The sequence below is a fragment of the Homo sapiens genome, chromosome 6 (assembly GCF_000001405.40).
Source record: "Homo sapiens chromosome 6, GRCh38.p14 Primary Assembly".
NCBI lineage: Eukaryota > Metazoa > Chordata > Mammalia > Primates > Hominidae > Homo > Homo sapiens.
The window spans coordinates 117,261,762-117,289,753 of record NC_000006.12 but is presented as its reverse complement, the minus strand read 5'-3'; the positions used below and the strand labels follow the sequence as shown (position 1 = coordinate 117,289,753).

Here is a 27,992-nt window from a genome sequence, read left to right as displayed (position 1 = left end):
TAATTTTACAACACATCTAACTATTCATGTGTTTTGAAATATGCTATAATGATGTTTGAACAATGAAGAGGAAAATTAGATGATACCAAAGAGCCTGTGAACCTGTAGCTTGGCTATCTTGTTCTTCAGCAGTTCGGAGGGTCTGCAAAAAGGAGATGCATACCTAATGATATGGGGAGAAGGGATGTAGTTCATACGTTCTTATAAAATAAGCTTTGTAGTTCAGGTGTTAAACTTAATAAATAGGTAGATCCATTAAATTTTTATTGGGAAAAATAGGTACACTGGTACCTCCCTTAGTCTTTTGAAATTATGGTATTTTCCTCATATTTCAATTGAAGTTCATTAAAAATAAATCAAACCTGGATGTGTGTCAGGGCTGAATGTAGAAATGTTTTTCATTCATTGCTATATCCATCAATAACTAGAACACAGGCTTGGAATGTAGTAGTCATCAGTAAATATTACATTAAGCAATTAATTTAGCAAAATTACTAAATCTAGAAAAACCAATCTTTAAAATTAGATATTTCAGTTGCTGTGGAAGTATAAAAAAGTACATACTTTAGACAAAAAGGGCCCTCTAAGGGCCAATTAAGTCCTATCACAAAGACCACGACTTGCTCCGCTTGTTAAGGCAGAGTTAATCACCCCTGTGCTCCTACTACATTTAAAAATATTCCTTTATTAAAGTGCATGTCACCTTCTATAGGTGACATATATATACATATAGCAGATCTATATGGTCTGCTTCCCTGCTAGACTGCAGCAGCCTCAAGGACAAGAAGCATGTTTTATTTGTCTTTGTATTCCCAACACTTAGTAGTCTTCATAAATGTTTGCTGAACAAATGTGTAAAGTTGGTGTTGCTATAATTCTGATATAGCTTGTATATTATTACAAATAAATAATTAAATACATGCTAGAATAACATTCATATTTTTTTCACAGGTGAAGATGGCGATGTGATTTGTTTGAATTCAGATGACATTATGCCAGTTGCTTTAATGGAAACGAAGAACCGAGAAGGGTTAAACTATATGGTACTTGCTACAGAATGTGGCCAAGGTGAAGAAAAGTCTGAGGGTCCTCTAGGCTCCCAGGAATCTGAATCTTGTGGTCTGAGGAAAGAAGAGAAGGAACCACATGCAGACAAAGATTTCTGCCAAGAAAAACAAGTGGCTTACTGCCCTTCTGGCAAGCCTGAAGGCCTGAACTATGCCTGTCTCACTCACAGTGGATATGGAGATGGGTCTGATTAATAGCGTTGTTTGGGAAATAGAGAGTTGAGATAAACACTCTCATTCAGTAGTTACTGAAAGAAAACTCTGCTAGAATGATAAATGTCATGGTGGTCTATAACTCCAAATAAACAATGCAACGTTCCTGATTTCTAATCTTGGTTCTGAGAGCCATTTGGTTTCAGTTGTAGCAATCCCCATACCAGCTGCCTGACTTTCAGTAGAATTATGAGATGAACACTAAGCATGTGGAAAGCTTAGGAAGACTCAGAAGTCTGGAAGGGAAACACTGCTCTCCCTTCTCCCTTGAGGTGCTTTAGGCTCTTACCCACCTTTCAGTTTGGGCTGTAATAAAAATATCTTGGCCACATGTTTAGAGACAGAATAGGTGTGTTCAGCGATATAAAGAAGAGGCTAAGGAGTAGGCTCAGGGGGGTCAACTGAACTACAGATAATCTCAAATGGGACCAAGGAAATGAGAAATAATTTCACACATACAGAAGAAACCAGCACCTGTGACTTGAGAAATCACTTGGAAAGCTGTTACTGCAATGATATATATATTATCTTTTTTTAATTTTTTTTTTTTTTTTTTGAGACGAAGTCTTGCTCTGTTGCCCAGGCTGGAGTTCAATGGCACGATCTCGGCACTGCAAACTCCACCTCCTGGGTTCAAGCAATTCTCGTGCCTCAGCCTCCTAAGTAGCTGGGATTACAGGCGTGTGCCACCACGCCCGGCTAATTTTTGTATTTTTAGTAGAGATGAGGTTTCACCATATTGGCCAGGCTGGTCTAGAACTCCTGACCTCGGGATCCACCTGCCTTGGCCTCCCAAAGTGCTGGATTACAGGTGTGAGCCACCATGCCTAGCCGATATATATTGTCTTTAATCACTACTGTAAAATATTTTGTAGTTTTGAGGCTTACAACAGTAGATTCAGTCATGTTGAAAATAAGACTGTGAAGATCTTTTAAGTCCTGAAGTTTTGCATTCTGTAATCTTCAGTTGTATAAAATCACTCTGACTTGTGTGCTATTATGGAAATTAACTAGTATAAAGATTGCTATTTGCCATATCTATTTTATGTATAAAATACTTAAGATTACATTTTGTATCAAATTATGCTTAAAATTAAATATAAATGATTATACAATGTTAATTCAAGCTGTGTGATTTTTAACAACCATATGAAAAAATAAATACCTAAATGAGAACTATTATATAAAAAAGCTCTTCAGAGAAACACCTTAACTTAAAACCAATATATACATTTTGCAGTTGTCCATTTAAATCTTAAAGCCACAATTGCTCTAACAGCAACACCAGTGAAGCCATTCTGTGTGTTATTCAGTTGCAGTATTCAGGAAATTTGCTAGATATAGAGAAGAACATTTTGATTATAGCATTTGCTAAAATCTGCTGTGGAAGAAGATCATGTATCCACTTCCACCTTGGATAGTTTAGTTAATCTTTTAATTTGCCTACTACCTGAGAGCCTGCACAGATGATTGGCAAGGAACACAGAGAAGTGAATGTGTTAGTTCTATGGTGAACAGCCCCCAAGTTAAGGTCCAGGATTTGTGGTCACTCTGCCACATCTGATATTCTGCTGAATAAGGCAGGATATTTTGTCTCTGATCTTCTCATCGTCTAATGGGCATTTGCCATTCTTTTTGTTATGCCATGATATGAAGCCCCTTCCTGTGCTGGGTAATTCCTCTGCCTTTATAATCTGGGTGGGAACTGTGTTCCATTCGCTCCCCCAGTGTCTCTTGCAGTAAGAAGGCAGGCATGTGACCCAGCCCTCACCACTAAGACCCACCCACCCACCTGCGCCAGGCTTCTAATTGAGACCTAGGGATGCAAAGAATCAGAGACCACGGGAAGTCTTCTCTGGTGATGGTGCCAACTGCAATAGTCTGTGTGTTAGTCCATTTTCATACTGCTATGAAGAAATACCTGAGACTGGGTAATTTATAAAGAAAAAGAGATTTAATGGAATCACAGTTCCACATGGCTGGTGAGGCCTCACAATCATGGTGGAAGATGAAGGAGGAGTAAAGGCATGTCTTACATGGCAGCAGGCAAGAGAGCATGTGCAAGGGAACTGCCCTTTATAAAACCAGCAGATCTCCTGAGACTTACTCACTATCACAAGAACAGCATGAGAAAATCCACCATGACTCAATTACTTCCCACTGGGTCCCTCCCACATACATTGGGATTATGACAGCTACAATTCAAGATAAGATTTGGGTGGGGACACAGCCAACCCATATCAATCTGGCTCCTGGCACAAAGGGGACACTGGTGCTAGAGGTGGCATCAAGAGTCCAAGGCCAGGAGAGTCAGCAGAGCTAGTCTAGAGCCTGGTGCCTCTGATAGTTTGGGCAGCCAGGCTAGACCCGTTCTGCTGTCTGCTCTCAAGTCTTCTCCAAGGTTCTGAGAGTTATCCCCATATCCCTTTAATAAACACTTATCTTTTAAACCAGCCAGAGTCAGTTTCTGTTGCTTGCAGTCAGGTTTTTGCTCTGACAGTGGCATGGACCTTTAACTCTGGAAGATACAAAAAGACATCAGAAGTGTATAGAAGAATTAGATTTGCCGTATAGTACATTTGCATTACAATTTGGGCAATAGAGAATGTATAGGATATCTGAGGGGAACAGCCTACAAAACTTTCATGTTTCAGCTAAGAAATAAGTGCAAATTAGCAGTATTTTTTATAATTCAAGATAAATAATAGTGGTAGAAATATTTAATTCAAAATAAAATAGTGGCTAAAAATGTCATGTGTAAAATGGATTATAGATAAAAATAATTTGATAAAGTATAGTTAGTTGGTTAATTCTGAAATTGTAGTACTACAATTGGAAGTTAATTCTAGAAAAAATAGATCTTATAATCAAAAGGAAAAAATTGACAGTGGCTAAAAACGGCTCTTGTTTAAATATATTATTCACAAAAAATTAGCATAAGAACAAAATCTTATTGATTTTTTTTTTTTTTTTTGAGACGGAGTTTTGTTCTTGTTGCCCAGGCTGAAGTGCAATGGCATGATCTTGGCTCACTGCTACCTCCGCCTCCCAGGTTCAAGCGATTCTCTCCTGTCTCAGCCTCCCGAGTGGCTGGGATTACAGGCGCCCACTGCCACGCCTGGCAATTTTGTATTCTTAGTAGAGATGGGGTTTCTCCATGTTGATCAGGCTGGTCTCAAAATGCCAGCCTCAGGTGATCTGCCTGCCGTGGCCTCCCAAAAGTGCTGGGATTACAGGCGTGAGCCACTGCACCCTGCTGATATTTTTTTTTAAATCTGCAAATGTGACCTAGGAAGACTTGAGAGAAGTAATAACTCACAAAGACAGAAGCTACAACTGGAAAGAGTTTATATGAAAAAGCTGATCAATGAATCTAACCTTCATTTAAAATTGTTCAAGGAAAAGAAATAATCCATAAGAAAAATATTTAAATAAGTTGAAATGCGATATAGGGTTGGAAGCAAATGCTATGTTGTTTATGGTTTAACACTGCCAATTGAGGAAATATTTATCTAGATAAAATAAATATGTTGATATAATTCTGATTAAAATGGTTTACTCCAAATGTTCTTGAGAAAAAGTCTGTTTCTGGGCCCAGATGCACTCTACATTTCTTACCTATGTTGGCTTTCACTTTCCTATTGGACTCTCTTGGCCTATTCTTTTCTGCTTACTAAATCTCACTCAACTTTTATAACCAGCTCATATTCCAACTCTTTGGAAAGGCCTGCCCCTAACCCTGTTCCTTCCCAGAATTACTTTTGCCCTTACTGTCTTTAAATCTCATTGGCAGTAACTGCAAGTTTTTTCCATTCTATTTCTATGCATTTTACCTACTCAAATAAATTGCAAGCTTTATGAAGATAGGATGGTGTCTTTTATTCCTTTATATAGTCTCCATGCCAAAGTAGGTATTTGTTTTTAATGGATTGATAAATAGATTTTCTCATCATCTACTTCCAGCCTATTACAGGACAAGTCCTTGCTTATGGCTCATACCAGGGATACCAGAAAATTGATCTAATGCCACTGGGGACTCATGAGGATTCTTTCAATAATGAGTTATCAGTTGAGACCTAGACAGATTATAGAAGTTGGGCAACTGCCTTGAAGTTAATATCAGACATAAGTGAGGACCAAACTTCTTCTTGAAGCCCTTGAAGTAATAGTGAACATATGCTAAAGGAAAAAAACATTTATTTTTAGCATTCTCAGTTTCTGCCCTATCCCAAACCCACCTTTTACCCTCAGAATAGCTTCTATGAATGTAGGATGGATGTTAGGGTGTCCTTGACTTCTCTTTGATACTCCTTGGTAAAAAGAAGCCTGTCCAACTTTCCTTTTGGCAGCTGGTCAGGGTTACAGGGAGCCTGAATCAGATGACCTATCCTGATTCTTTCGGGCTTCTTCACATACAACCAGAAGAATTAAGGGGCCGAAATATACTCCCCAAACACTACTGTGAATAATTTAGGATGTTTCCTTCCAGTTTTTTCTCCCCAATAGGAGCTTATTTTCATGGCTGGAATAGTTGTAGTTGTACCTCTCCTAGTTTTTTTCACTTAACATTATTACATAAGCTTTACCTCTAATTATTAAAAATATTTTGGGAGGGTTCCTGATGGCTGCATAAAATCACTTAGGGTGGATCTATTAGAGTTTACCCCTCCTTTGTAGATCTTCACATTCATTCATTTACTCATTTAATAGAGTGCCTAAAATGCAGAAAGTATTGTTACAGGTGCTAAAAATAGAGCATTAAACAAAGCAAAGTCTCTGCCTTGATGGAGGTTACATTCCAGCATTGTAGTTGGAAGAGGAGACATAATAAATAAAAAATATACATATAGGTGAGGAGCAAACTCAGCATTCTATAGTGCTGCAGAGCTTGAGACGTTTAAGTGCTCATTCAAGGTGGGTCTGTTGAGAAAACCTGGTGCCCTGAAACACAGAATAAAGGTATTTAGATAAATACCTCAAAGATTTTGGCTCAGCAGACCCTTCTGATCCCTCAGAGCTTGTAGAGGTGGCCCACCCCTCCAAAGTAAGAGCCAGCACTTTCTCTGTAGAGGAAAATGTGACAGAGGCCTCTTCTCAACCAGGCAACTGATGTGCCCTCAGGAACCACATTCATCTTTCCTGACAGCCAGGTTGATAACTATGCTGGATAAATCCCAGTATAACTTGACTAGGGATATGCTGGATCTGATAAGGAAGGAAAGAGATTACATCCCATAGGAGCTCCAAGAATTAGCTAACATGCACTGGCAGGGGTGGGGGGGATAATGCTGGCATTGCATTCTGAAGGTCAAGGGGATGGGAAGGTAAGACTGGGTAAGCAAGAATTCATTCACTGGGTGAGATTTTCCTGGGACATGAGATTTAACATTCTGGAAAAGACCAATGGAGATGAGGCAAATTTGTGGCTAGGGTGGCTTCAGAAGCCAGGAGACAACAAAGGCCCTTTCTGAGTTTCCCTGTCAAAAGGTAGAGTAAGGAATTAAAAGGCTAAGGAGTGGGAATGCTGAAGTGGACATATAATGTGAAGCCAGAAGACCCACCAGAGGATGCAGCATTCATCAAGGTCATCAGGAATGTGCTGATGAAAGGAGCCTCACAAGCATCACGAAGAAGCTCAGTGATGGTCTCCTCTGCAGGCAGAGCTTTTGGCAGGAGAGGCAGATCCAGAGCTGAGCTTGTTAACATCCATGGTCACAATGCGGGCCTAAAGTAATAGAGGCCAGATGGCTGCACTTGACCACCAGAAGCCAGGGACCCTTATCACTAATGACAGAGAGGAAGCCAAAGGGGCTTGACCATAGATATTGTGGAGATAGTTAATAAAGCATGTATTAGTTTCTTCTCACTGCTGTGAAGAAATACCTGAGACTGGGTAATTTATAAAGGAAAGAGGTTTAATTGACTCACAGTTCTGCAGAGCTGGGGAGGCCTCAGGAAACTTAACAATCATGGCAGAAGTGGAAACAAACATGTCCTTCTTCACACAATGGCAGGAAGGAGAAGCGCTGAGCAAAGGGGAAAAGCCCCTTATAAAACCATCAGATCTCGTGAGAACTCACTCACTATCACGAGAACAGCATTAGGGTAACCATTCCCATGACTCAATTACTTCCCACCAAGTCCCTCCCATGACACATGGGGATTATGGGAACTACAATTCAAGATGAGATCTGGGTGGGGGATACAGCCAAACCATATCAAAGCATGTATCCCTAGGGCAAAATAAATGGACAGCCAGTCCTTAACATCCAAAATCAGTAGAAGGCTTTATTAATCAGGGTTCTTAAGAGAAATAAAACTGATAGGATATATAAATAGATGATAGATAGATATATGACAGATAGAGATGATAGGTAGATGATAGATAGATAGATAGATAGATAGATAGATAGATAGATAGATAGACAGGGGACTTATTAAGGGGATTGGTTCTCATGATTATGGAGACAGAGAAGTCCCGCGATTTGCCACCTGCAAGTTGGAAATCCAGGGAATTTAGTAGCCTGACTCAGTCCAAGTCTGAAGGCCTGAGAACCAGGGGAGCCAATGGTGTAATGCTCTTTCTGAGGCCAAAAGCCTGAGAACCTGAGGGGAGCAACTGGTGCAAGTTCCTGAGTCTGAAGGCCAGAGAACCTGGAGTTCTAGTGGCCAAGGGAAGGAGAATATGGGTGTCCCAGCAGCAGCAGAAAGAGTAAGAGCAAATTAGCTTTTCCTCTGCCTTTTTGTTCTATCCAGGCACCCAGTCAACTGGATGATGCCCATCCACATTCAATACAGAAAGATGTTTCTTACTTAGTCCACTGATTCAAATATCAATCTCTTTCAGAAACACCCTTTCAGACATATACAGAAATAATATGTTACCAGCTATCTGGGTATCTCTTAATCCAGTTAAGTTGACACCTAAAATTAACTATCACAAAGGCAAAAATGTGACACCCAAAGTTAATGATCATAAAAACAAAATTAAAGAAACAGGGGGCTAACGTGGTCTTTCTGATAAAAATCATGATCCTTGCTCAATTCCCGGACCTGAGCCAATTTTTGGATTTGCAACTCATTGACTGACAGTGGAAGGACCCTGCAACATCATCACAGGCATATACTGCAACGGCAACTATGGCCACTTACTCCAGTGACTGTACAACTGAAGGAAGCGGGAATTCCCAGACATTTCAGACACTTGGATACAGGGTCTGAGTTGATATGGGCATCCAGAAACCTGATGCATTATCATAGTCCCTCTGTTAAAATGGGGCTTATGGGAGCAGGTATTAAATTGCATTCTGGCTAAAACCTAACCTACAATGTGTCCACTCGGGCCACAGCCCCACCCAGTGGTCATTTTCCTACTCTTTAAATGTGTAATTGGGATCAACATACTTTGTGATTGGCGTAACCCCCTCACTGAATCTTTGGCCTGTGTGGCAAAAGATACCATAGTGTGGAAGGCCAAGTGGAAACCTTTAAAACTGGCCCCCTTTTCCTTCCCCTCCCTCAACACAAATTGTAAATCAAAAACAACACAAATCTCAGGGGGATGACAGTGATTAGTACCACTATTAAAGATCTAAAGGTTTCAGGGTTCATGGCTTCTATCGTATCTCCATTTAATTCACTAGGGCTCCTGCCAAAACTGGATAGATCTTGGAGAATGAGTGTAGAATACCACAAGTTAACTCCAATAATGGCCTCAGCTACAGTTGCTATACCAGATGTAGTATATTTGCTAGAATATATTAATAAGGCTTCAAGTGCGTGGTATGTGTCTTGGCATTTGCTTCTCGGAGGATCCAAACTGATATATCATCCTATTGATGGGACAATTTAAAAGACTACTTATGATAATTGCTCTTAAAGTTTAAACATATGGAGCTAACGGTTGCCCTTGGCAAGTTTGTGTGTAGGGGAAGCTAAATTAAAATAGGTACAGGAGAAAATTAAAAAGTAAAGGGAGAGAACAAAGATGACTCATTTAAGGCATTTTTCCATTTAAAGGGAACAGAGAGGTGAGGTAGCAACTGGAAGAAGATGGGTCAAGGGAGGTTTTGTCTTGGGTTTGTGTGCATTTTTAAAGACAGGAAATATTGCAGCCTGTGTTTATTAACGGGAGCAATTCAATAGAGAGGGAAAAGAAATGATGCAAGATGAAGAGAACTGTCGAAATGATACCTTTGAGCAGAAGACAGAGATTGAGGCTCAGGATATAGGGGCAGGAAAAGGATGTATAATACTAACTGGCTCCTATGAAATGTGATAGAATTTCTCTCCACTACTTTTAGTAAGAGGACTTTCTTTAATGAAACAGGCTTCCAGCCAGTTTTTCTTTTTCTAACTTGTACTCTAAACTTCAAATCAACCTATATTTTAAAATTTGTTTACATATAATAAAATATTTTAATACACTGTGTTTTTTCATAATAATTGGTGGTAGCTGCTCAATGTACTTAATATCTAGCTAAGGTTAAAGAATACTGTAAGTCAAGTGTCAACAGAATGTTCTGTAGGACTACTGCAATCTCAGAACTCCTAAATTTGTGTCATGAAATGTTATTGCTACGTAAATGCCAAATAAGTGGCACAGACATTAGGTGAAAGAGTTCCCTAAGGGTGAGACCATATACTGCGGTGTGGTGGGGAGACAAGGTTTTGTAGAAGAGACAGAACTAATCTAGACTTGAAGAACAGATAGCATTTGAATAAGATGGCAATGAGGGTGAAGGTTTTCTGATCTGCTGGGAGGTAGGAATTCACAAGGACCTTCTGTGGAATATAAGAGAAAATGTTGCAGACTGCTCAGGGGAACAGTCAACCGGAACAATTGTGTTTAGGTACTCTGGTTAACTTCTTGTGTACCAGTGGGCTGAGGTCTTACCCAATGGTGAGCTTGATATCCTCCTGAAAACTTAGACAAGATAGCTCTAAGTTCATCTGATAATCGATATGTAGACAAAGGATAGGTAAGCACAATAAATAGATCAGTACACTAAAAGCTATCATGCAAAACGTTTTTAGTGTCACTTATAGAGTTTTTCTGTTTACAATAAGGACAATGAGAACAAAGGGTGTGTAATGGAGTTCAAATTAGAACCTCCTCTGATAAAGAAGAAAAACTAAATATGCACCCTAAAATAACAGTAGAAAATGTAGCCAGAAGCTTTTATGATGTGAAAAATATATACTGTTAAATTGTATAATTTATTTTATTTTAATATTTAATGTGTTGCCCTTGTTGCTGTTCTGTGACACAGGAAGATTCAGTGGTACCTGTACTTTCTGCCTCATTCTCTTAAGACCCAAAGCTTACATTAATTGGCAGCATGAGTATATATTATGACTGTGAAACATTGTTTATTTTTCTTTTTTAGTTTCAATACTTTATATCTCAAGCAAAAATAAGAGATGGCAGTATTCCACGATAAATTTATAAAATTTCCAGTCTTATCTATAATGACACCATTCCTTAAACATCAAATGACCAGACATCCCAAGTTTCAATGTGAGATGATGGTGTCTGATGTTACTGTTTTAATTTATTAACTAAATAGTTTGGAACTGTTAAGTAAAAAATTGTGAATAATTTTTCATCTCAGCAATTCCAATTGAATATAACTTCATAGTTGTTTTCCCTCTGGGGGTAGGCCTTTTCCCTAGATCATTTCTTATGCCCTTTAAAAAATATAAGTGAATAATATGTTTTTAAAAGAAGTGTTTGAACAAGGAAGAACAAACATCATAAGCCCTGTTCTCTATGTTTCTTACCAATATCTGTCTGTCAGCGACCTATTGTCAGTTTCTGAGTGTAGAGAAGAAACTGCCTGAGGTAAAAACGGGATTTCACACTCCACAAAGCAAGGTGGAATACTACTAATACAGCACCTTCAGGCAGTGCTTCTAAAGATATCAGGAAATTCCATAAAAAAGCTGGTACAATGGGAAAAAAGTCATTTGATACTAGAGGGAAAAAATCCAATCACTTATACATTGGGTATAACAGATTATACATTGGGTAAAATACTCTTAGAAGAAGAAAACGTGAAATAGGGTTGTACCGGTAAAAATAAATTTAACAATAACTCATTTTTTTATCCCATTTCTTGATAATACCATCATTGCCAAAGGGCCAATAATGTAGTTGCCAAAAATAAGAGCAACACTATAGTTTGAGAACCAGCAGGAAAAGAAATGAGTTTGGGACACTCTCATCAATGATCCCAATCATAGCTGTTGTTTCTAGCAAGTGTGTGCTTAGAATTTTAAGATCCTTAATTTTTGTTTCTGAGTGAAAAGAATTTTTATTTGAAGTATTCTAAAGAAGCTACCAAATTATAACATAAATAGAATATTTTTCTAGTTGTAAATACGGTAGAGATTAAAGTATGTACTCCAAAAATACACGTTGGTAAAAATTTCTAATTGCCTATAGATCATTTAGAGTGGTGCAAATATTGATTAGGAATAAAAAAGTTTTAATTCTTTAATTTCATTGTTGAAAGTTTAGTTTACCTTTAACCTAAATTTCTTACATGTAATCATAATATATTTATTCATTTATACATTTTTGATAGAAAGTGGAAACAATTATGAGAGGATAGTTTGAGCAAAGCCATTGTAGCCATTTTGAAACACTTGGAGATAAGCAGAAGTAGCGCTTACTGAGTCTAAGGACAAAACAAAGGAATAGGAAATATGCTGCTGCTGCTTTTCTAGGTGAAATAACTGAATTCCAGCAAGGCAGAGCAAATTTGGATGTCTCCATTTTTGTTTTAGAGGAACTTAGTTTCACAAGAATACACCGGAAACTCACAGAAATACTATAATTTGAGGTAGATCTGACACTGCGTTGTGGAGAACTTCAGATTTTTCTCCTACTGAGTTAACTCAGTAATTTTAAAGTGAAAAATTCCAAATGAAGGGTCACATGCTTTACCAAAGTAATAATTATTCTAGTAAGGTATATATATATATATATATATATACACATACATTCTAATAAGGTGTATATATATATATATATACACACACACATACATAATGTATGTATTTCTCTAAAGATTAAAAATTAATTCTTCGGCAAAATATCTTACTCTTTTCCCTAGAAAAGAAAATTTGCCTGTCTCTTAAAGTCAACTTGGATTAGCAGAATCACCTCTGCCGACACTTGTCAGTGGCCACTCCTTGCCTGGACGTGATATTTGGAGGTCATGGCTGGAAACAAATGGGAGCTGTTTTTGGAGGCTGCATTGCCTTTTTAGGTTATGAGGGTCTCTCTGTGTTTAGGATAACATGATTGACAGCTCCATTCTAGCTCCAATTAGCACCCTATAATTTATTAGCTTCTGCTTTCAGATTATGCGTTAACTTCACAAATATTTCAACCACGGAAACAGCAGCTATCAAGTATCTCTTTCTTGATCCAGCCCTCTGGGGCTGGAGTGAAATACAAGGAAAGAGAAGTACAGTTGGTCTGTCAAGTGAGAATAATCATTTGTGCCTGTGCCTGTCTGAGGGCATAATGTCTCTGATTTCTCTCTAGGTCTGCATCTGTGTGTGTGTGTGTGCGCGCGCGCGTGTGCGTGTGTGTTATATTTGTGGATAGATTCTATTTTGCAGATACCATATTTGTCTTTTTAGAGTTTTATATTTATAGGCAATAAGCAAGAATTGGTATTTAGGAAATGTGAAATTTACGTTTGCTTAACCCTGCTGCTTGTATAAATGTCACAATTTCAGTTACATACAGACAGCAATGGTAATAATGATACTGTCTAATATTTATTCCTTTACTCCAGATTTTAGGAATATATAATAAATCTTAAAAGTCTAGTAAGAAAAAATGAAATATACAGAGAAAACAGCTTGGCAAGCACAATAAAAATGTGAACTATTTGCAGGTGAATTGTCAACAAACTGTTAAGGCAATTTTACAAAGTGATCTTAGGTTTTTCAGTTTCATTTATTTTTAAAGTATTTTCACATATCTTTCCATTTTTCTTCCATGCTTAGATGACATCCTAATGAATTACATTAATAAATTCAATGTATGGACATAGCATTTACATGAAAGCAGTTTGTTTAAGTTCTATTTATTTTTTATCCCCTCCAACTCCAAAGTAATTGATCACTAAGTGCTTAAAAAAAGAGCTTCTTTACTTTGACAGAATATGTGCATGCCTGCACAAAAATGCAGGCTTTTTGATTCTAAGCAAAATGAAAATTAAAGTTACCTAAAGAGTTGCTTTTTCCAGATGCAGAAGGGCACAGAAAATACAGTACTTACCCAGAAAGAGTGAAAAGAGAAGTGTTCAGTCAGGGTTTCTGAGTCTCAACACCCACCATCTCCCATCCAGACCCAAATCAATCTTAAGATATTGCTAGAATTTGCCATGCATTTAAATAGAACTTCAAAGGGGAAATGAGACGGGATGGCAACTCTTTTTACACTGAAGGAATAGAACAGATAGAATTCCCTGTAGCTGGGTGACCGAATTCTCAGCCAGAGTGCAATCGGCAAAAGGATTACTTGGTGGTGGAGAGCCGTCTCTTTCCTTTTCATCACCTCTCCTTCAACCTAGGCCAAGTGCAAAGGGAAAGCCGTGGGCAAAGAGGACACTAGTGCCAATGGGGGTGATTAGAGGAGAATGTAACCTTTCTCTGAGCCCCCTGACCAGGTATAACATATGTAAAAATGTCATGTTTGCCTTTCCTCATGCCATCCCACATTTCCTTGATGTCCTTTTTTCAACTGCTAGAATCTTTTCAAATCTGCATGGTTTGACTACTATTAGCAAGACAGGTATGAGAGTTCATATTTTGTGTGACTTGAAGTAAGCCTGCAGAATGTCAGTTGGGGCTACCATTTCTCCAAAGTTCTCTTTGATGCTCTTATTACACAGAACCAAATCATTATGGATCTAGGTCATCTTGCATTTCTACCTTAGGAAGGTGTGGAATGGAGGGAAACGCTGTGGTTCGCGTGTCATACGTGCCAGGTCGCTGGAGCCTGGACTGGCTCAGCAGTCTGGACGGTCTGTTCAGGACCGCCCCAAAGGCCAATTCCAGTGAATGAGTCTCCTTACCAGCAACCTGATATTCAGGTCAGATGTAGCTTAGGAGAGAAGTTTCAGTAATCAGAACCTTGTGGGTGGGAAAATGTTCCCTGTGGGTTCTGATCACAGATCTTGTGAGTGTTAACGCAGGTGGGGTACAGGTAAACAACCTCTTCCGGTGGGGAATATGTGGAGATGTCCAGCAGAGAATGCACTGCCATGCTTTCTTCAACAGTATATTTAGTAGCAAATTCTGAAAAGCACACTGGGGCTTAATGCATTTTATTTACACTTGAATATACCAGGGATTCATGCCAGTGGAACATGGATTAAAACAATCCACAGAGAAGTCCAAAGTTAATTTTAGTTATTGCTTCAATGTCCAAACCTCAGGCTAACTCTTACACAGCTTGATTAGGTTGGGTGTGAAGAATTTCAGAGTGGTGAAGGCTGTTAAATACTGAAGTGAATAAGAGAAGCAATAATAATTCCCTCCTGGAGAAGAATAGAGAGCTGTACCTGACTGAATGGTCTAAGTAGTGTCATTTGATGGAGTTTGGACAATGTCCTACGACAGTTCCTTTAAGACTTGGGCTTCTGTAAATTCTACCAAAGCATCATCAATCTGTGCTTCTCTGACTTTTTTCCTTTCTTTATGCATCTATTGTGGAGAAAATAAGCCCAACGTTGAAGATCAAAGAGACAAATCAGAACTGGACAAGCAGTCACACAGCGAATAACAGTGCAGCCCTGCACGGGGGCTACCTGGATTTGCAGCCTGACTCTGCCACTGACGAGCTTCATGACTGGGCAAATAATTTCTCCTCTGTGTGCCTGAGTTTTCTAATAGGTAAGAAGGAGAACATCGTAATAAATAGCATACAGAATTGTTGTGAGGTTTAAATGAGTTAATCTATAGAGATCAGTGCCCAGTACGTGATAAACAATTAACATTAGTTATGATTATGATTATTGTTATCACATGTGATGCACATAATCATAGAGTACCTTCCATCAGAGTGCAAACCATATTCCTGGAATGATCATATGTACTTCACAGGTAGCCAAATGACAGAAAGAGGGTATGGGGAACTCTGCCAAGCTCATGCTGTGAGTTAGATCCCTTAACTGCTTCCAATTCTTGAGACTTATCCAAGATAAATTATATTCGCCTCTCATGTTATAATGAAGATCAAGATTTGAACTAATATTTTTATGTGTTAACAAGGTACAAGGGTAATCTGAGCAGCACACAAAATCTCTCTACTGGGCACTTTTGTGAAAGAACAGAAATAACTTTGGTATCAAGAGGAAACAAGGGGAAAAACTACCAGTTTCTTTCTTAAAAATCTTTTTTGCCTAGTGAGAGATTTGGTTTCTTAGCCTAGCTTATTAAAATATAAAATAGCCAATATTTCAAAAACACTTTTAACTGATGACTCTACTGTCTTGAGTCTAGAATTAAACATGTAACAATAAATCTTTTCTGGAAAATAATAAATCTGTACCAGGTAGTGCTTTTTGTACCATCTTTGCTTCTAACTTCTGAATGTTAACAGGCAAGCCCTTGGCCTCTGTAGGCCACAATTTTCTCATCTGTAAAACAGACAGGGGTACCTAACTTCTCGTTCTCCAAGGTTGATGTGAGATGGAAACAGCTAACAGATTCATAGCACAGCAAACACGGTGGAAACACAGAAAGATCTATCTATCTATCTATATCTATCTATCTATATATATGTAATATTACTGACATCAAATCATACTACTGTGTTATTTTATTCTACTAGAAAAAAACTAAGTTATTTATTTTCTTTTTATGAAACAACACAGTGAGCTCATAGTAAATAGACATCTTTAATGTTCGTCTCTTCTTCCTCATCACCTTCAGCTTTGCCCACGCACAGACCCTTTCCCCTGTCCCAACACTAAAGTGACCAAATCACAACCAGTGAGACTGAGAAAAAAATTCGAGGTAATGGAGACTTCATGTACATTTCTTCCCCTTGTGGTGATTCCTAGTTCTTCTCCATGGAGACAGTTGGGGTCTCTCCTTGCTTTTTACATCCAGAGGATACAGGGACAGAATTCGTGGGAGAGAAGGCAGAGAAGGGTTTCTTCTTTCATCATAAAATGTTCCTTGTAAAAAATATGATATATATGCATACATATATATATATAATATACCCAGTGCAATTGCAATTGTTCTGCCAAATACTGAGAACTGCCACCTTGGGTGATGTATTTCTGGAGTTTTCAACAGTTGTCTAACAACAGCTGCATTTTAGTAAGACTTGGGCAGGTGGCTCCAGATAAGCCACTTGCCACTCACATTCAGGCTGAGGCTTCCATGTTCACAGTCCAAAGGAAAAAAGTGTATCTTTGCGTCTGGAGTGGGCATTGTAGGGAAGGGATGGGCAGGAAGGGATCTGGAGGCTGAGAGGTGAGGAAGAAGGAATTGACTTCTCTTTACTTCTCTACCACAGTCTTAGATGCAAGTACACATACAATTTAAAATCTGACAGTAGTAGTGCTATAATCACACTACCTAACAAAATAATTCACATCAGCATAAAAAATATTCACACCAAAAAGTTTCATTTTCTTTCCCCCGTTCCAAGAAAGCTTATGATATCACATCACCTGACTCAGCAATCTCACCACAGATATTTCCAGTGATTCGGCCAAAAGTCATTAAACATAACTCAGTCTTTGGATTTGCTCTTTCAGCAGCAGGACTTATTTTTAGATGAATTTCTGTAGTTGTGGTTTTTGGTTTTCCCAACACACTGAGAAGTCTGAAGTCTCTGCCTTCCCCCATGTCCTCATCCACGGAGTGAGAGGCACAGATGCTGAGCCTCCAAGGCTGGTCAGAAGGGAAGGGGAAGGGGAAACCCTGGGTCAGCAGATCAGCTCAGGAGGGATGCACCACAGAGGGAATAACGACGAGCTGCAAACCAAGATCAGAAGCTGTTACAAACCCACTCCATTTCAGCTCTGAGTGCCATCAATTGCACTATGCAGAGACCTACAGGGAAGAAGGTGGGCGGTCTAAAACCAGTACACATCCTTGCTTTTGTCCTGAGGCTGCAAACCTGAAAATAGAGAGAAGATAAAAGAGAGAGGAGGTGGAGAGGGAGGGAAAGAGAGGGAGAGGGAGAGAGAGAAGAAGAAGGAGAAGGAGAAGGAGGAGAACAAAGAAGAAGAGGAGGAGGAGGAAGACAAAGGGAGGGAGAAAGAAGGAATGGGGGAGGGAAGGCACAAGATATTTAAGGAAAGAAGGACAAAACACCACTGTTTTATTGTGAAAGTCACAGACTTCACCTAAAGTTGGGGGCGGGGTGGGGAGGGGGGCGGTGACTGAAAGTAAAAGCAAAGCAAACCGAAAAGTCAAATCACTTGAGGAAAGGGGCAGTGGGCAGACTATAAAGCCAGTGATTGCACTTATTATATAACTATTTCTTTCATTTGCCCTAAAAATAAGAAAAGAAGGCAAAAAAGCAAGCCCTTATTAGACTGTACGTTGCAAATACTTTAAGCCAAAGACTTAGGATTGTCATTTTAAAATATTCTTTAAGATTTACATTTTTAAGAGATCTATTTTATTTGGCAATTAACTTGATACCAGGATCACATTTTTCTTTCCTTACAACTATCACTAGGTGACAAGATCCCCCAAGCCACAGAAGATTTTAAATTGTACTCTCAGCAGCTACTCTAGATCACCGCTGTCCAATAGAAATACAATGGGAGCCATAAGCATAATTCTAAATATTCTAGTAGCCAGAATTGGAAAAAAAGTAAAAAGAAACATGAAACTTTTTATAATCGATATGCAATGTGTTGAAAATATTTCAACATGTAATCAATGTAAAAGTATTAACGAGATGAATTTTACATTCTTTTTCTGCACAAAGGTTTGGAAATCCAGTGTGTATTATACACTGACAGCACATCTTAATTCGGCCTCACCACGTGCCAAGTGCTCAGTAGCCCCAAGTGGCTAGCGGCTACAGTATTGAACAGCGCAGAGCTAGAACTTTTCCACTAAATTTTATTATTATTATTATTATTATTATCATTATTATTATTATTATTATTATTATTTTAAAAGTCCTCTGTAACATTTACCAGCCAGGTTAGGGTAGGGTCCTACTTTCTCATCCCGCCTACACGCATGGCACAGGGCCATGTATCAGTGGAAACACGACCGTGGCATGCAGATCCTTGGGCCACAGAATTCAAGGTCTCCAAGGAGGATTAAGGGGTCTAGGCACAGCCCAGGGTCGGGTACGGGGCCGAGCGGCTCCGCGGAGACCAAACTTCTTCCTCTGCTTACCTGAGTCCACGCTGAGGCCCAGACCCTGGGCCACGTCCCCCGAGGGGCTCGCGAAGGGTCCCCCGGGCCCGGCCCACGCGGCGCCCGCCGGCTCGCCTTTGCCGGAGAGCTCGCAGGGAGGACTGCCGGGCGCGGGCGCCGGGGCGGTTGCGAGGCGGGCCGGGCGCCCCGAGGCGGCTGGCATCAGCAGCGGCCCATAGCGCGGGTCGAAGTGCGGCGCGTAGACTTCGTGCACGGCGGCGGGGCGCGGGTAGGGGGCGGCCTGGGCGCCGAGGGCGCCGCCCAGGGCGTAGGGGTGATGCGGGTGCGCGTGGTGCGGGTGCGCGTGGTGCCAGGGCTCCGTGGCGCCCTGGTGCAGGTGGCCATGCAGCGCGGCGGGCGAGTAGGGGTCGGCGGCGGCGAAGGGCAGCTCCGAGTGCGCGGTGGCCAGAGGGCTGCCCAGCGGCGGGGGCACTGGCGCCTGGTACGCGCTATTCCAGAAGGAGGCGGGGAAGCTGCGCTGGCTCATCGGGAAGGAGCAGTCTGTAGGCCGGCCGGGGAGGCGGAGTGGAGGAAAGGAAAAGAGGTGCGTGTCACTGCGGCTGGACTCAGCGCCGACCTGCACGTCCCGCCCGAGAGACGAAGGCGCCGGGCGGGCACAGGGCTGGCTAGCCATGGCCGGGGCTGATGGGCAGCCCCCGCCTCTGCAGCGGCGTTTTTCTAAGGGGGCTGCAACCTGTGAAAGCGAGGTGGGGGAACTGCAAAATGGGGGCTTCTGGGAACCCACGAAAAGGAGGCCTGCTTCCTCCCATTTCGCAGCCGAGTCCTCAGTGCGGAAACCAAGTGGCGGGTAGAGTAGCAAGAGCGGAGAGACTCCCTCCCCGACTCAAGTCCTTGAAGCTCAAGGAGCTTCCCGCGACTCAGCGCAGCACGGCCTCCCTTTCCTAGCCTTAACCTCTCCCCAAGCTAACGATACCTCTTCCCACTCTTGGTCGGCCGCCTAGTGATCTCACTACCCCCTCTCGCGTTTCAGCCTTCTTGCTCCAGAAAATGTGCCCCCCACCACCTAACGTCTCTGACAGACTGAAAGTCCATCGACATATTTTGAAGTCTTGCTATTGTTAGTTTTCTTTCTAGAAACCTTCTTTCAAATATTTTTCTCCAAAAACTCAAGCAAAAGAGTAAACTAGTCGCATTAAAGGGCAGCTCTATTATTTGCACAGAAGGACACGAATAGACAGGTCTTTTATCCTAAGTTTTCATTAACTTTTGTATCAAAACGAGGACGCCAGGGATAATAATAATTATTATTACTATTGTCAGTGTCACTGTTGGTTCCTAGCCCGTGACAGCATTTTAAGAGAACAGCGTTTAGATCAAATTTGTTGCCATTAGTAAGAAGGGAGAGAAAGACAGATATTTAATTCATGGAACCTTTATGGAACACCTCCTCTGTGGAAGGCATCTGCACGATAAACTAGAGAATTTTAAATGATTTGAAAATGCATTCTAAGTGGTGAAGAGTCTTCCTGTTAAACATATTTAGGCAGAGAATAAAAAGAATGTTCTGTATTTAAAATGAATGTTTTTTGGATCTTGTCTAAGGGCAAGCCTTATGCAAACTGCCAGCGTCTCTTAAGGGGGAAAAAAGGGGGTGAAGGTTGTAATTTCCCTCCCAAAGACAAATGAAAATTTGTTTTTGTTTTTACAACAAAGTCCCCCTTTCTCAGCTTGGTACACATCAAATACAGCTTAGTGAGCCAAGTTTACTTAATGGTTCCCCCACCTTTGTTTTGTTGGTAATAAAGGGAAGTTGAGATTTCAGAATAGAAGGGAGATTTAGTTGAGTTGTCCAACAAATAATTGTCCTAGGGTAGAAAAAAGCAGTGCTTTGTGGGGGAAGGTAGAAAAATAAAAAGGGGATGTGTTTTGGGAAAACTCTTAGAGGTGTTCTGGCTGTATCTAAATTTTTGTTTCTTTGTTATTTTACTTGCTATTGAGACGCTTCTGCTTCAAGATTTCTCAAGCAATTGGAGCCTGGTGAAAGGCAAAGGTAGGTTTTAGGAGACATTCTCAAACAGGTTTTGCTTGCATGGAGCTCTAGAACTGTTTCCTCTGGGAAAATGTTGGCAGATTGGGAAAGTGCTCTTTAGAGTGAAGCTCCTTCACTCACTGGTTTGGGAGGGTGCTGGAAACCTCACGTTTTTGACGGCATATTTGCATCCATTTTCTTGTTGGAGTCTTACAGCCTTCTCTGGGGTTAGGAGGGTAAGTGTTATTCTACTTTAAGAGAGCAGTAAATAGAGTGACCTCAAAGAGGTTGAGACTTGCCCAAGGTTATATTGCTAGGAAGTGGTGGAACCAACACACAAACCTAGGTCTTCCAATTCCAAGGATAGTGTTTTTTCCAAGGAGTTTTTTCTTATATCCATGCCCTTTACCCCTGCGTTTTCCTTACCCTTTCCAAATGCTCCTCTGCACACCTTCTCTGACACCTAATATTCTTTTCAGCTGCATGTTTTTAGGCTCCTGTAGGTGAACCCCAGGCTGAGAGGACCCCCTATGGGTCCTTCCCAGCAGGGCCCTATACTCACCTCGCCAGGGCCCAGAGCTCCTTGGTGCTTTGCTGCTGGTACAGCTAGGAGAGTAGCTGCTGGGTTGGCTCAGGGCCCTGCTGAAATGTTCATCCACCACGGAGCTGATGTCCCCCTGGAAATAAGTGAAGAGGACGCAGCGGGAGTTGATGTACTCTGCCTCTGGTGGGCGCTCTTTCTCTGGGCTGCCTTCTTCCTCTTTTATACTGGCTGGGGTTTGGCTGGAAAATGAGGAGCTGCCGCTGCCACTGCTGCTGGGGCTGGCATTGCACTCCTGCGCTTCCTGCATTTTGGAATAATAGGCTAGTTTCTGTTCAGAGAGAGAAAGAACAGAGATATCAATTTCAAAAGCGATGGCAAATTCGGTTCAGACTGATTCCCTCATCCTAATCTCTAAGGTATTTATGGGGAAACTGGCATATGGGCTTAAGCCTTGTGCTGTTAGCATAAAACTAGCAATAGCGGGGCAACATAGTTAGCAGGCCTCCCAACCTGCACCCAAGCAAGGACGGGCTTCCTTAAAGGAAGATTGCTGTCCTTGGTCCCTCTGACTCCTAGAAAATTTCTCCTAAAATGTCTGGGTGAAGGTTTCAGGAGACACCTAAGCAGCTAGGTTTAGAGCTGAGTTTGACCTCATAGCTGGGCTCAGGGCAGATATATTTTTAAAATCAGACTCCAAGGGTAAAGGGCACCCAAGTCCAGATAGAGCCTGACTGTTCCTTGCCTGAGAATCCAGGGCAGAAGCACAGGATACAGGATAAACATCCTCCTGATGAAATAGGAGCGGGGGGCAACCCCCTACCCCTACAAAATCCACTCCCTGAAACTAGGAATGTGTGAAGGAAAGCAACAGGAATGTAAAGGAAGAAATGCCACAAAAAGTTTGAAATAATTACATTTAGTAATGAATTGTGTGGGGTAAAAATCTGGGGTAACATGACTGGGGAAACACGGATCATTTTAATAAATGCAAGTTGATTTTTTTTTTATTATCCCTATATCAGTTTTTAAACAGATCTTCTCTTTAATAACGAAAGACCAGTGGATTACGAGTATTTCCACCCCCATCATCTCCACACACATTGAGGAAATGATAAAAAGGAGCAGACAGAAGAAAGTTAAGATCCTGGCTGTGAGGTGGGGTAAATCGGCATGTCTCATAGTGATTTTAAAAAGCAGGCGCAGCTTCTGTGAACATTTTCTTAGAAATGAGCAATGGACTGAATGAAGTGTTAAAGCATTCTGCAGGCAGAGATGGCCTTGAAGAGGCGGCCCGAGTCATACAAAAATGAACAGAGATCTTCATGCAATAGATTGGTTCGGGGTCTGGGAGAAGAAAGGGCCAGTCAGAAAACCAATCCACCTCTCTCCTCTTTGCTTGCCATAGTCCCACCCTGGGAAGAAGTACATTTCAGAAGCTGGAGCCAAAAGGTTTGAAATAATTGGGGACAAAACGATGTAAGATTTAGCAATATCACCACTTCCTAAATGCCACCTTCCCTACAAGAGGAACTCTGGTGATTCTTAAAATTAACACTGAGGCAAAACAAACTGCAAGTTGTGAAGTTTAAAAGAGAAGAGGAGGTAAGAAAACAAAAAGTGAACCCTATCCGGTCCATCATTAATTTATCGGGAAATTTTCGAATAGACATTTTAAATTTGCAGGCAAAATTAGCAAAAGCATCCACTGGGGCATTGGGGTGTATTTCAATTTCCCCAAAGCAGGTGACCAAGCTCTCACTTTCCAACCTGGAGGGGACCCCTACAGCCTCCCAGGTGTATGATTTCATTCTTTTCCTGCACTACTGTCCTCAGTTTCTGCTACCTCAGCTGAGGAAATGGAAGGAAAATGGTTCAAACAGACGCAGCCTGAAGACAAGAGAAACTGGCAGAATTAAATGGAACTTGAAGAGTTTGCAGAACCCGGGTTGAGTGGTCTTCTTAAAGTGTTTGTTGGAAGCAGGGCTTCCCCATTCACCTACTCAGGCTGGAGAAAGGCAAAGTATTGTCTATCAGGCTCGCCTCTGCCGGGTCATTCGCACTCCGGATAATGCTCCCAGAACTTCGCAAAGGAAAAAATTATAAAACTGCGCGGTGCTCTTTGAAATGAATTCTCTGGATCTGGAATTAATTGCCCTGGTCGCCAGAGAATTGAAACGGAAGAAATTATTCCTGAGATAAACTTGCAGGGATGAGAACACCGGCCCTTGCATCTCAGAAAGAGGCTGGCTGGCCTTCGCTTTTGGTTTTGTTGTTACTCTCACCATTGGGACCAAAGTTTGGTTTTTCCTGCGTCAGCTTTGCCTGCATTTCCTGGTACCTGCACCTGGCTTGGAAGAATCTGGAGTCCGACAGACCCTAAGAAGAAAATCCAGCCCGTGCCATCTTCCTCTGATTATTCCAGGGAAGACCTAGGCTCACATTAGCAGGGCTTAGCTGCTTCCCGAGAGCAAACAGGCGAGCTAAAGGGGTTAGCTAATTGCACTACCAACTGGGGGCGGCTCCGGCAATCCCCGCATCCCGGCTGCGCCGGTCGTGGTCGGACGCCCGAGACGCGCGGAGGCACAGCAGACCTTGGCGTACAGGCCATGCCGCCGCAAACGGGGGGCGCGCACTCCTTCCCAAAGTCCCCAGAGGAGACACGTACCTGGTGGTAGGGGGTGTAGGCGGCTGCGAAGTAGGGCTGCGGAGGACCATAGACTTGGTACATAACATCCAGACAGCTCATGACTCTCCGCAGCGGAGACGGTTAAGTGTTTTTTCATTAACTCTCCTTCCCCGGAGCTCAGGGGTGCTGCATGGGCGGCGCTTGGACCCGCGCTCTGGAGTCATCAGGCGGAGCAAAGCCAGCGCGCTCCGCGGCTCGGAATCCAGCTGGCTCGCTACCCTCCCACTCCTGCGATTTTACTCCCGACCGCGCTCCAGGGCAGAAGCGCCTGAGCTCCCGCTAGTGGGCATTTAAAGCCCATGCCCGGCGGGCGTGCTGACGCCACTCGGGGGCTGCGGAGCGGGAGGGGGCGGTGGGGGGCGGGGACCGGGGGGCCAATGGGGAGCGAGGGACGCTTGTTGGAGGGGCAGCGAGTGTGTTTCCCGGGGCCCACCTCTGACAAGCATGCGGCCAAGGGTGCCGGAGACTATGCGGTTCCCAGCGGATCCGAGGCTTCGCACCGCGAGTAGGAATCTCCCAGGACAAAATAGGAGAGAGAGAGAAAGAGAGAGAGAGAAGGAGGCGGGGACGAAGGGATCCGGGCTCATACACGCAGAGAAAGAAAGTTGGAGAAAGGTCTCTTAGGAAAGCCCTTGTCTCATACTGTAGTTGAGTGGGTGCTTCCAGAAGTGCCGAGGTGGGGCAAATTCTCTGCTTTCGGTTCCTGATGATGTATGGGGAGGACGGTGCTGTCCCTTGGAATCCCCTAGGGAGTCCGGGTCGTGGCAGACAGGATGTGGGAGTCCGGGTACCCCTCCAGGGCGCAGAAGAGCTACCTCTGCGGGGAAATGGCAGTGGCTGAAACCTGTAACCGCTGTCCTCTAATCCACTTCCTTTCGCTCCCTCTAACCTGGTCCTCCCGCCGCCTGTCCCACACCCCAATTCTGCTCTCTTGGGCCGTGCCCTTCTGCCCCTCTAAAGTTCGATCCTGCTCCTTTCTCTTTGATGTTCTCCACCGGAACCCGTTAGCTTCGCATAGATCGCGCCCGCTTCCGGCTGCTCCCGGTGTGAGCTGCTTTCGAGGAGTCCAGGAGGCTTTACCCGGCCTCGGATGTCTGGCTTTTCATGCTGGGGTCTCCTTGGCCGGGGTCCTTTAAAGTTTTGGCAACTTTGGGGACAAGGACTCGTTGGCGCTAAGAAGAAGCATACTAGGACCCGTACACAGAGAGGTCTTTTGCTGCCTATTCAGCCGGTAATACCAGCTGCGATGGTATGTTTCATTTTGGAGAGCTGGAAGTATATGCACTCCAACTATAAAACCTTCACCCCTTTCTCTCTCCGGCCCTCCCTGAGAGGTCTGCTGGCTTCGCCCTCCTTCCTGCGACCCTACCCATCCTTCTCAAGCCTACCCCCCACCAAGCCCTCTGGAAAGGGGGTGTAACAGTGGAGTCTTCAGTTCTATAAGTTTAGGAATGCATTGAGACAAGGCTATCTCCATGGCTGGGTCAGGTGGCGGAAGGGGCATTACGGGAATAGAGGCGGGCCAGACTTGGGGGGACCAAGGGAACAGGTTGGGAGCATTAAGAGTCTAGACTCAAGAAAGAGGCAGCATGGATTTCAAACCCTAGTTATTCCCCAGCTTAAATACAACAGAAAGTCTTTATAGAGTCTCAGGCTATAAGACTGTGAATAAATGAACCCTTGAAGATCTATTTGTGTTTTAAAAGTGAGTATTTTAAGCCAAATTGTTTTAGGGTTGCAGTTTTGGTGTTGCCCAATTTATAGATGGGAAATGGCTCCGTGTCTCCAAATGCTTGTAACTGGTGAGCCATCTTGAGCGATTCGACAATTTCCTTAATTAACAACAATGTAATCTATGTAAAGTTTTCTAATCAATGAAAAGTTAAAATAAAGACACTCTTCTAGTACATTTCCATGCAAGCCTCTTTTTAGGGGCCAAGCTGCCTGTTGGATGAAATCTGCCAGCTTCTGGAGCTTCTGATTATCCAGGCGCAAGGGTGAAGCAGAACATCCATCCCACCTCCACCCCAATGTGCCCTCCCTAGGCGTTTCTGAAGATAGGTACAACCACCTATCATCATTTTCTTTGGGGCAAGAGAGGAAACCCTCATCCAAAGAGCCACAGTACGCTCTTCTGTGTGCGGGAGATGGGGAGTTCAGGTCCCAGTCTCGCTGGCCGCTGCTGCGCACCCTTTCTGCTGGGTCGGCTTCACCCAGGCCCGCAGGAGTACAGGTGTCAACGCAACCATCGCACCAGGGACTCCACGGGGCGGGCGGGTGTGGCCCCGGAGGGTCCGGTCCCCCACTTTCGCGCAAGTCCCGCAGTCCCTCCTTGGACACGGAGGTTCCGTTTTGGACATCTCTGGGCGTGAACATCGGTGGCTGAAGCCGGCTCCTTTTCGAGCAGCCTGGGCTTGGCAGTGTTGTGCAGGGGGAATGGGGGTTGGTGGGTGGGAAGCGGCGGAAGGCAAGCTCCACTAGCATGTCCAACCAATGCATGGAAACCCTGCTTTTGTCCTTGCTCACCTTCCAGTAGCTACCTCCTATTCCCAGTACCCGGTCACTTTGACATTTTTAAATTTTACGATGGCTATAGTACTAGAAGACCTTTTTATTTATTTATTTATTTGCAATTTCCAGAGAAAATCATGACAACCTCTCCAAGTCCAACAAGGCCCAACAGAAAGTTATTTTCGGAAAGGATTACAGGAAGAACGATTTTGCGTATCTCAGACGAAGAAATTGAAGAGAACATTATTCTAGTTGCCTAAGGCTGCTTTACATTCACATTACTCAATCTCCTCTTACTTGAAACAATTTTAAAAATCTCACTGAAGCTAAGCGAGGGTATGGACTGCACAGGAGTTCGAAGGAACACAAGGAATTGGGTCAGTGAGCATCAATCTAGAATTTAGGAAGGAAACCATTTTATTCCCCCTAAATCCACAGTGAAGGAAGAAAAACAAACATCCCAGAGTTTTAAAACACGTCCCAAAGATTGGAGAATGTTTCGTCTTTTCTCTATGTCTGAAAAGTTGTCATTTACAGGAGGGTGGTACTTCTCAATCGCATGAGATTGCCTCTTGTTTCTACGCTGAAGCGGAAAGTAAAACACAGCTAAATTTGATCCCCTTTACTCTCCCAGCCATTCAAACCACCAGCACATTATCAAGGTTGAAGAAGTTAGATTTAGATTCAGAGTCTTGGGAATGGGCTACAGGTTGAGAAAATTATCTTTCCTTCCCTCTGGAGTCCTCTTCCTCAAGAAGAGACTGAAAAACAAACAGATGTCCCTGAATTTGGGCCCGAAGCCCCCAGTGAGATAAACTGTTCCCAGTTGCGTGGAATTGGCTTTTAACTCCTTAACTGGGCAGAGGGAGTATCAAAACTTCTCTTTGAAAAGAATTTCACTTTATGATCGATTAATGGCCATTTATTGAACTGCTAGGAAAGAGCTATATGAAAGTAAATTGCACCAAAATTTCTTTTTTAATATCCTAGTTCTATTCTGCAATTCTAACAGCATCTATACTGTGAAAATAAAGACACCTTTAGTCTTGAAGTTAATAAGTGAAATTAAATTACTTTAGCACAAGTAAATGTTTCAAGATAGCAACTCAATGAAATACCTGTTTTCTCTTCAGAAAGGTTTACCTCTCACTTTCGTAAACTAGCTGATTTCATTATCTCTGAATCTATCTGTCACTTGTGTCGTCTTATTCTGAAAACCGCAAAGACACTGCTTAGCAAGGATACTTGAATAGAACTGATTTGGAGAACTGACTTGCAGCCAGCCAGGCCCTTCGTTGCCAGTGGTTTATTTAAATCATGAGTTGGCATTTCATGTTGCCAACCGAGGGGGATAAACACAATGGTAACCTCACAGATTTTCCCCCACAAACTCATTTTTTTCATGTTTTACTGACAGGAGTTGTGTTTGGATTTGGGAGAGTAGCTGAGAAGATTTTGTGGATTCAAGCTGTTAACAATATTAGTTAAAAACATTTCTGTAAAAGCCAGGGTTTTCAGGCATGATCTGTTAGTTAGGAATAATACTGTAGT

The 27,992-nt window shown here is 42.4% G+C and overlaps 2 protein-coding genes and 1 long non-coding RNA gene across 15 annotated transcripts in view; 2 read left to right on the top strand and 1 right to left on the bottom strand.

Moving 5' to 3' along the window:
* The window catches only part of ROS1 (ROS proto-oncogene 1, receptor tyrosine kinase), a 138,590-nt gene extending 136,189 nt beyond the window's left edge, over window positions 1–2,401 (top strand). For all 11 annotated transcript variants that reach the window (XM_017011173.2, XM_017011172.2, NM_002944.3 and 8 more), the window contains one exon: window positions 952–2,401. In XM_017011173.2, the coding sequence (XP_016866662.1) occupies window positions 952–1,262 (311 nt within the window). In that variant the 3' untranslated portion in view covers window positions 1,263–2,401. The remainder of the gene's footprint in view (window positions 1–951) is intronic.
* VGLL2 (vestigial like family member 2) lies at window positions 16,124–24,196 on the bottom strand. Of its 3 annotated transcripts, none has more exons than XM_005266883.3 (4): window positions 23,910–24,196; window positions 21,263–21,572; window positions 18,690–19,211; window positions 16,124–17,445 (listed from the first exon to the last, which is right to left on the bottom strand). In XM_005266883.3, exons 1-4 carry the CDS (start codon window positions 23,988–23,990, stop codon window positions 17,402–17,404), a joined length of 957 nt encoding a protein of 318 aa, XP_005266940.1. In that variant the 5' UTR covers window positions 23,991–24,196; the 3' UTR covers window positions 16,124–17,401. The 3 variants fall into 3 exon arrangements, with proteins under 3 accessions (XP_005266940.1, NP_872586.1, NP_703154.1); NM_182645.3 differs by having other exon boundaries at window positions 16,189–17,300; NM_153453.1 differs by lacking the exon at window positions 18,690–19,211 and having other exon boundaries at window positions 16,189–17,300.
* Window positions 24,197–24,679: 483 nt separating this feature from the next.
* Window positions 24,680–27,492, top strand: LOC105377964 (uncharacterized). Its single transcript, XR_942911.3, has 2 exons — window positions 24,680–25,179; window positions 26,571–27,492. It is a non-coding gene; the product is annotated as an uncharacterized LOC105377964 (long non-coding RNA).
* Window positions 27,493–27,992: the final 500 nt, after the last annotated feature.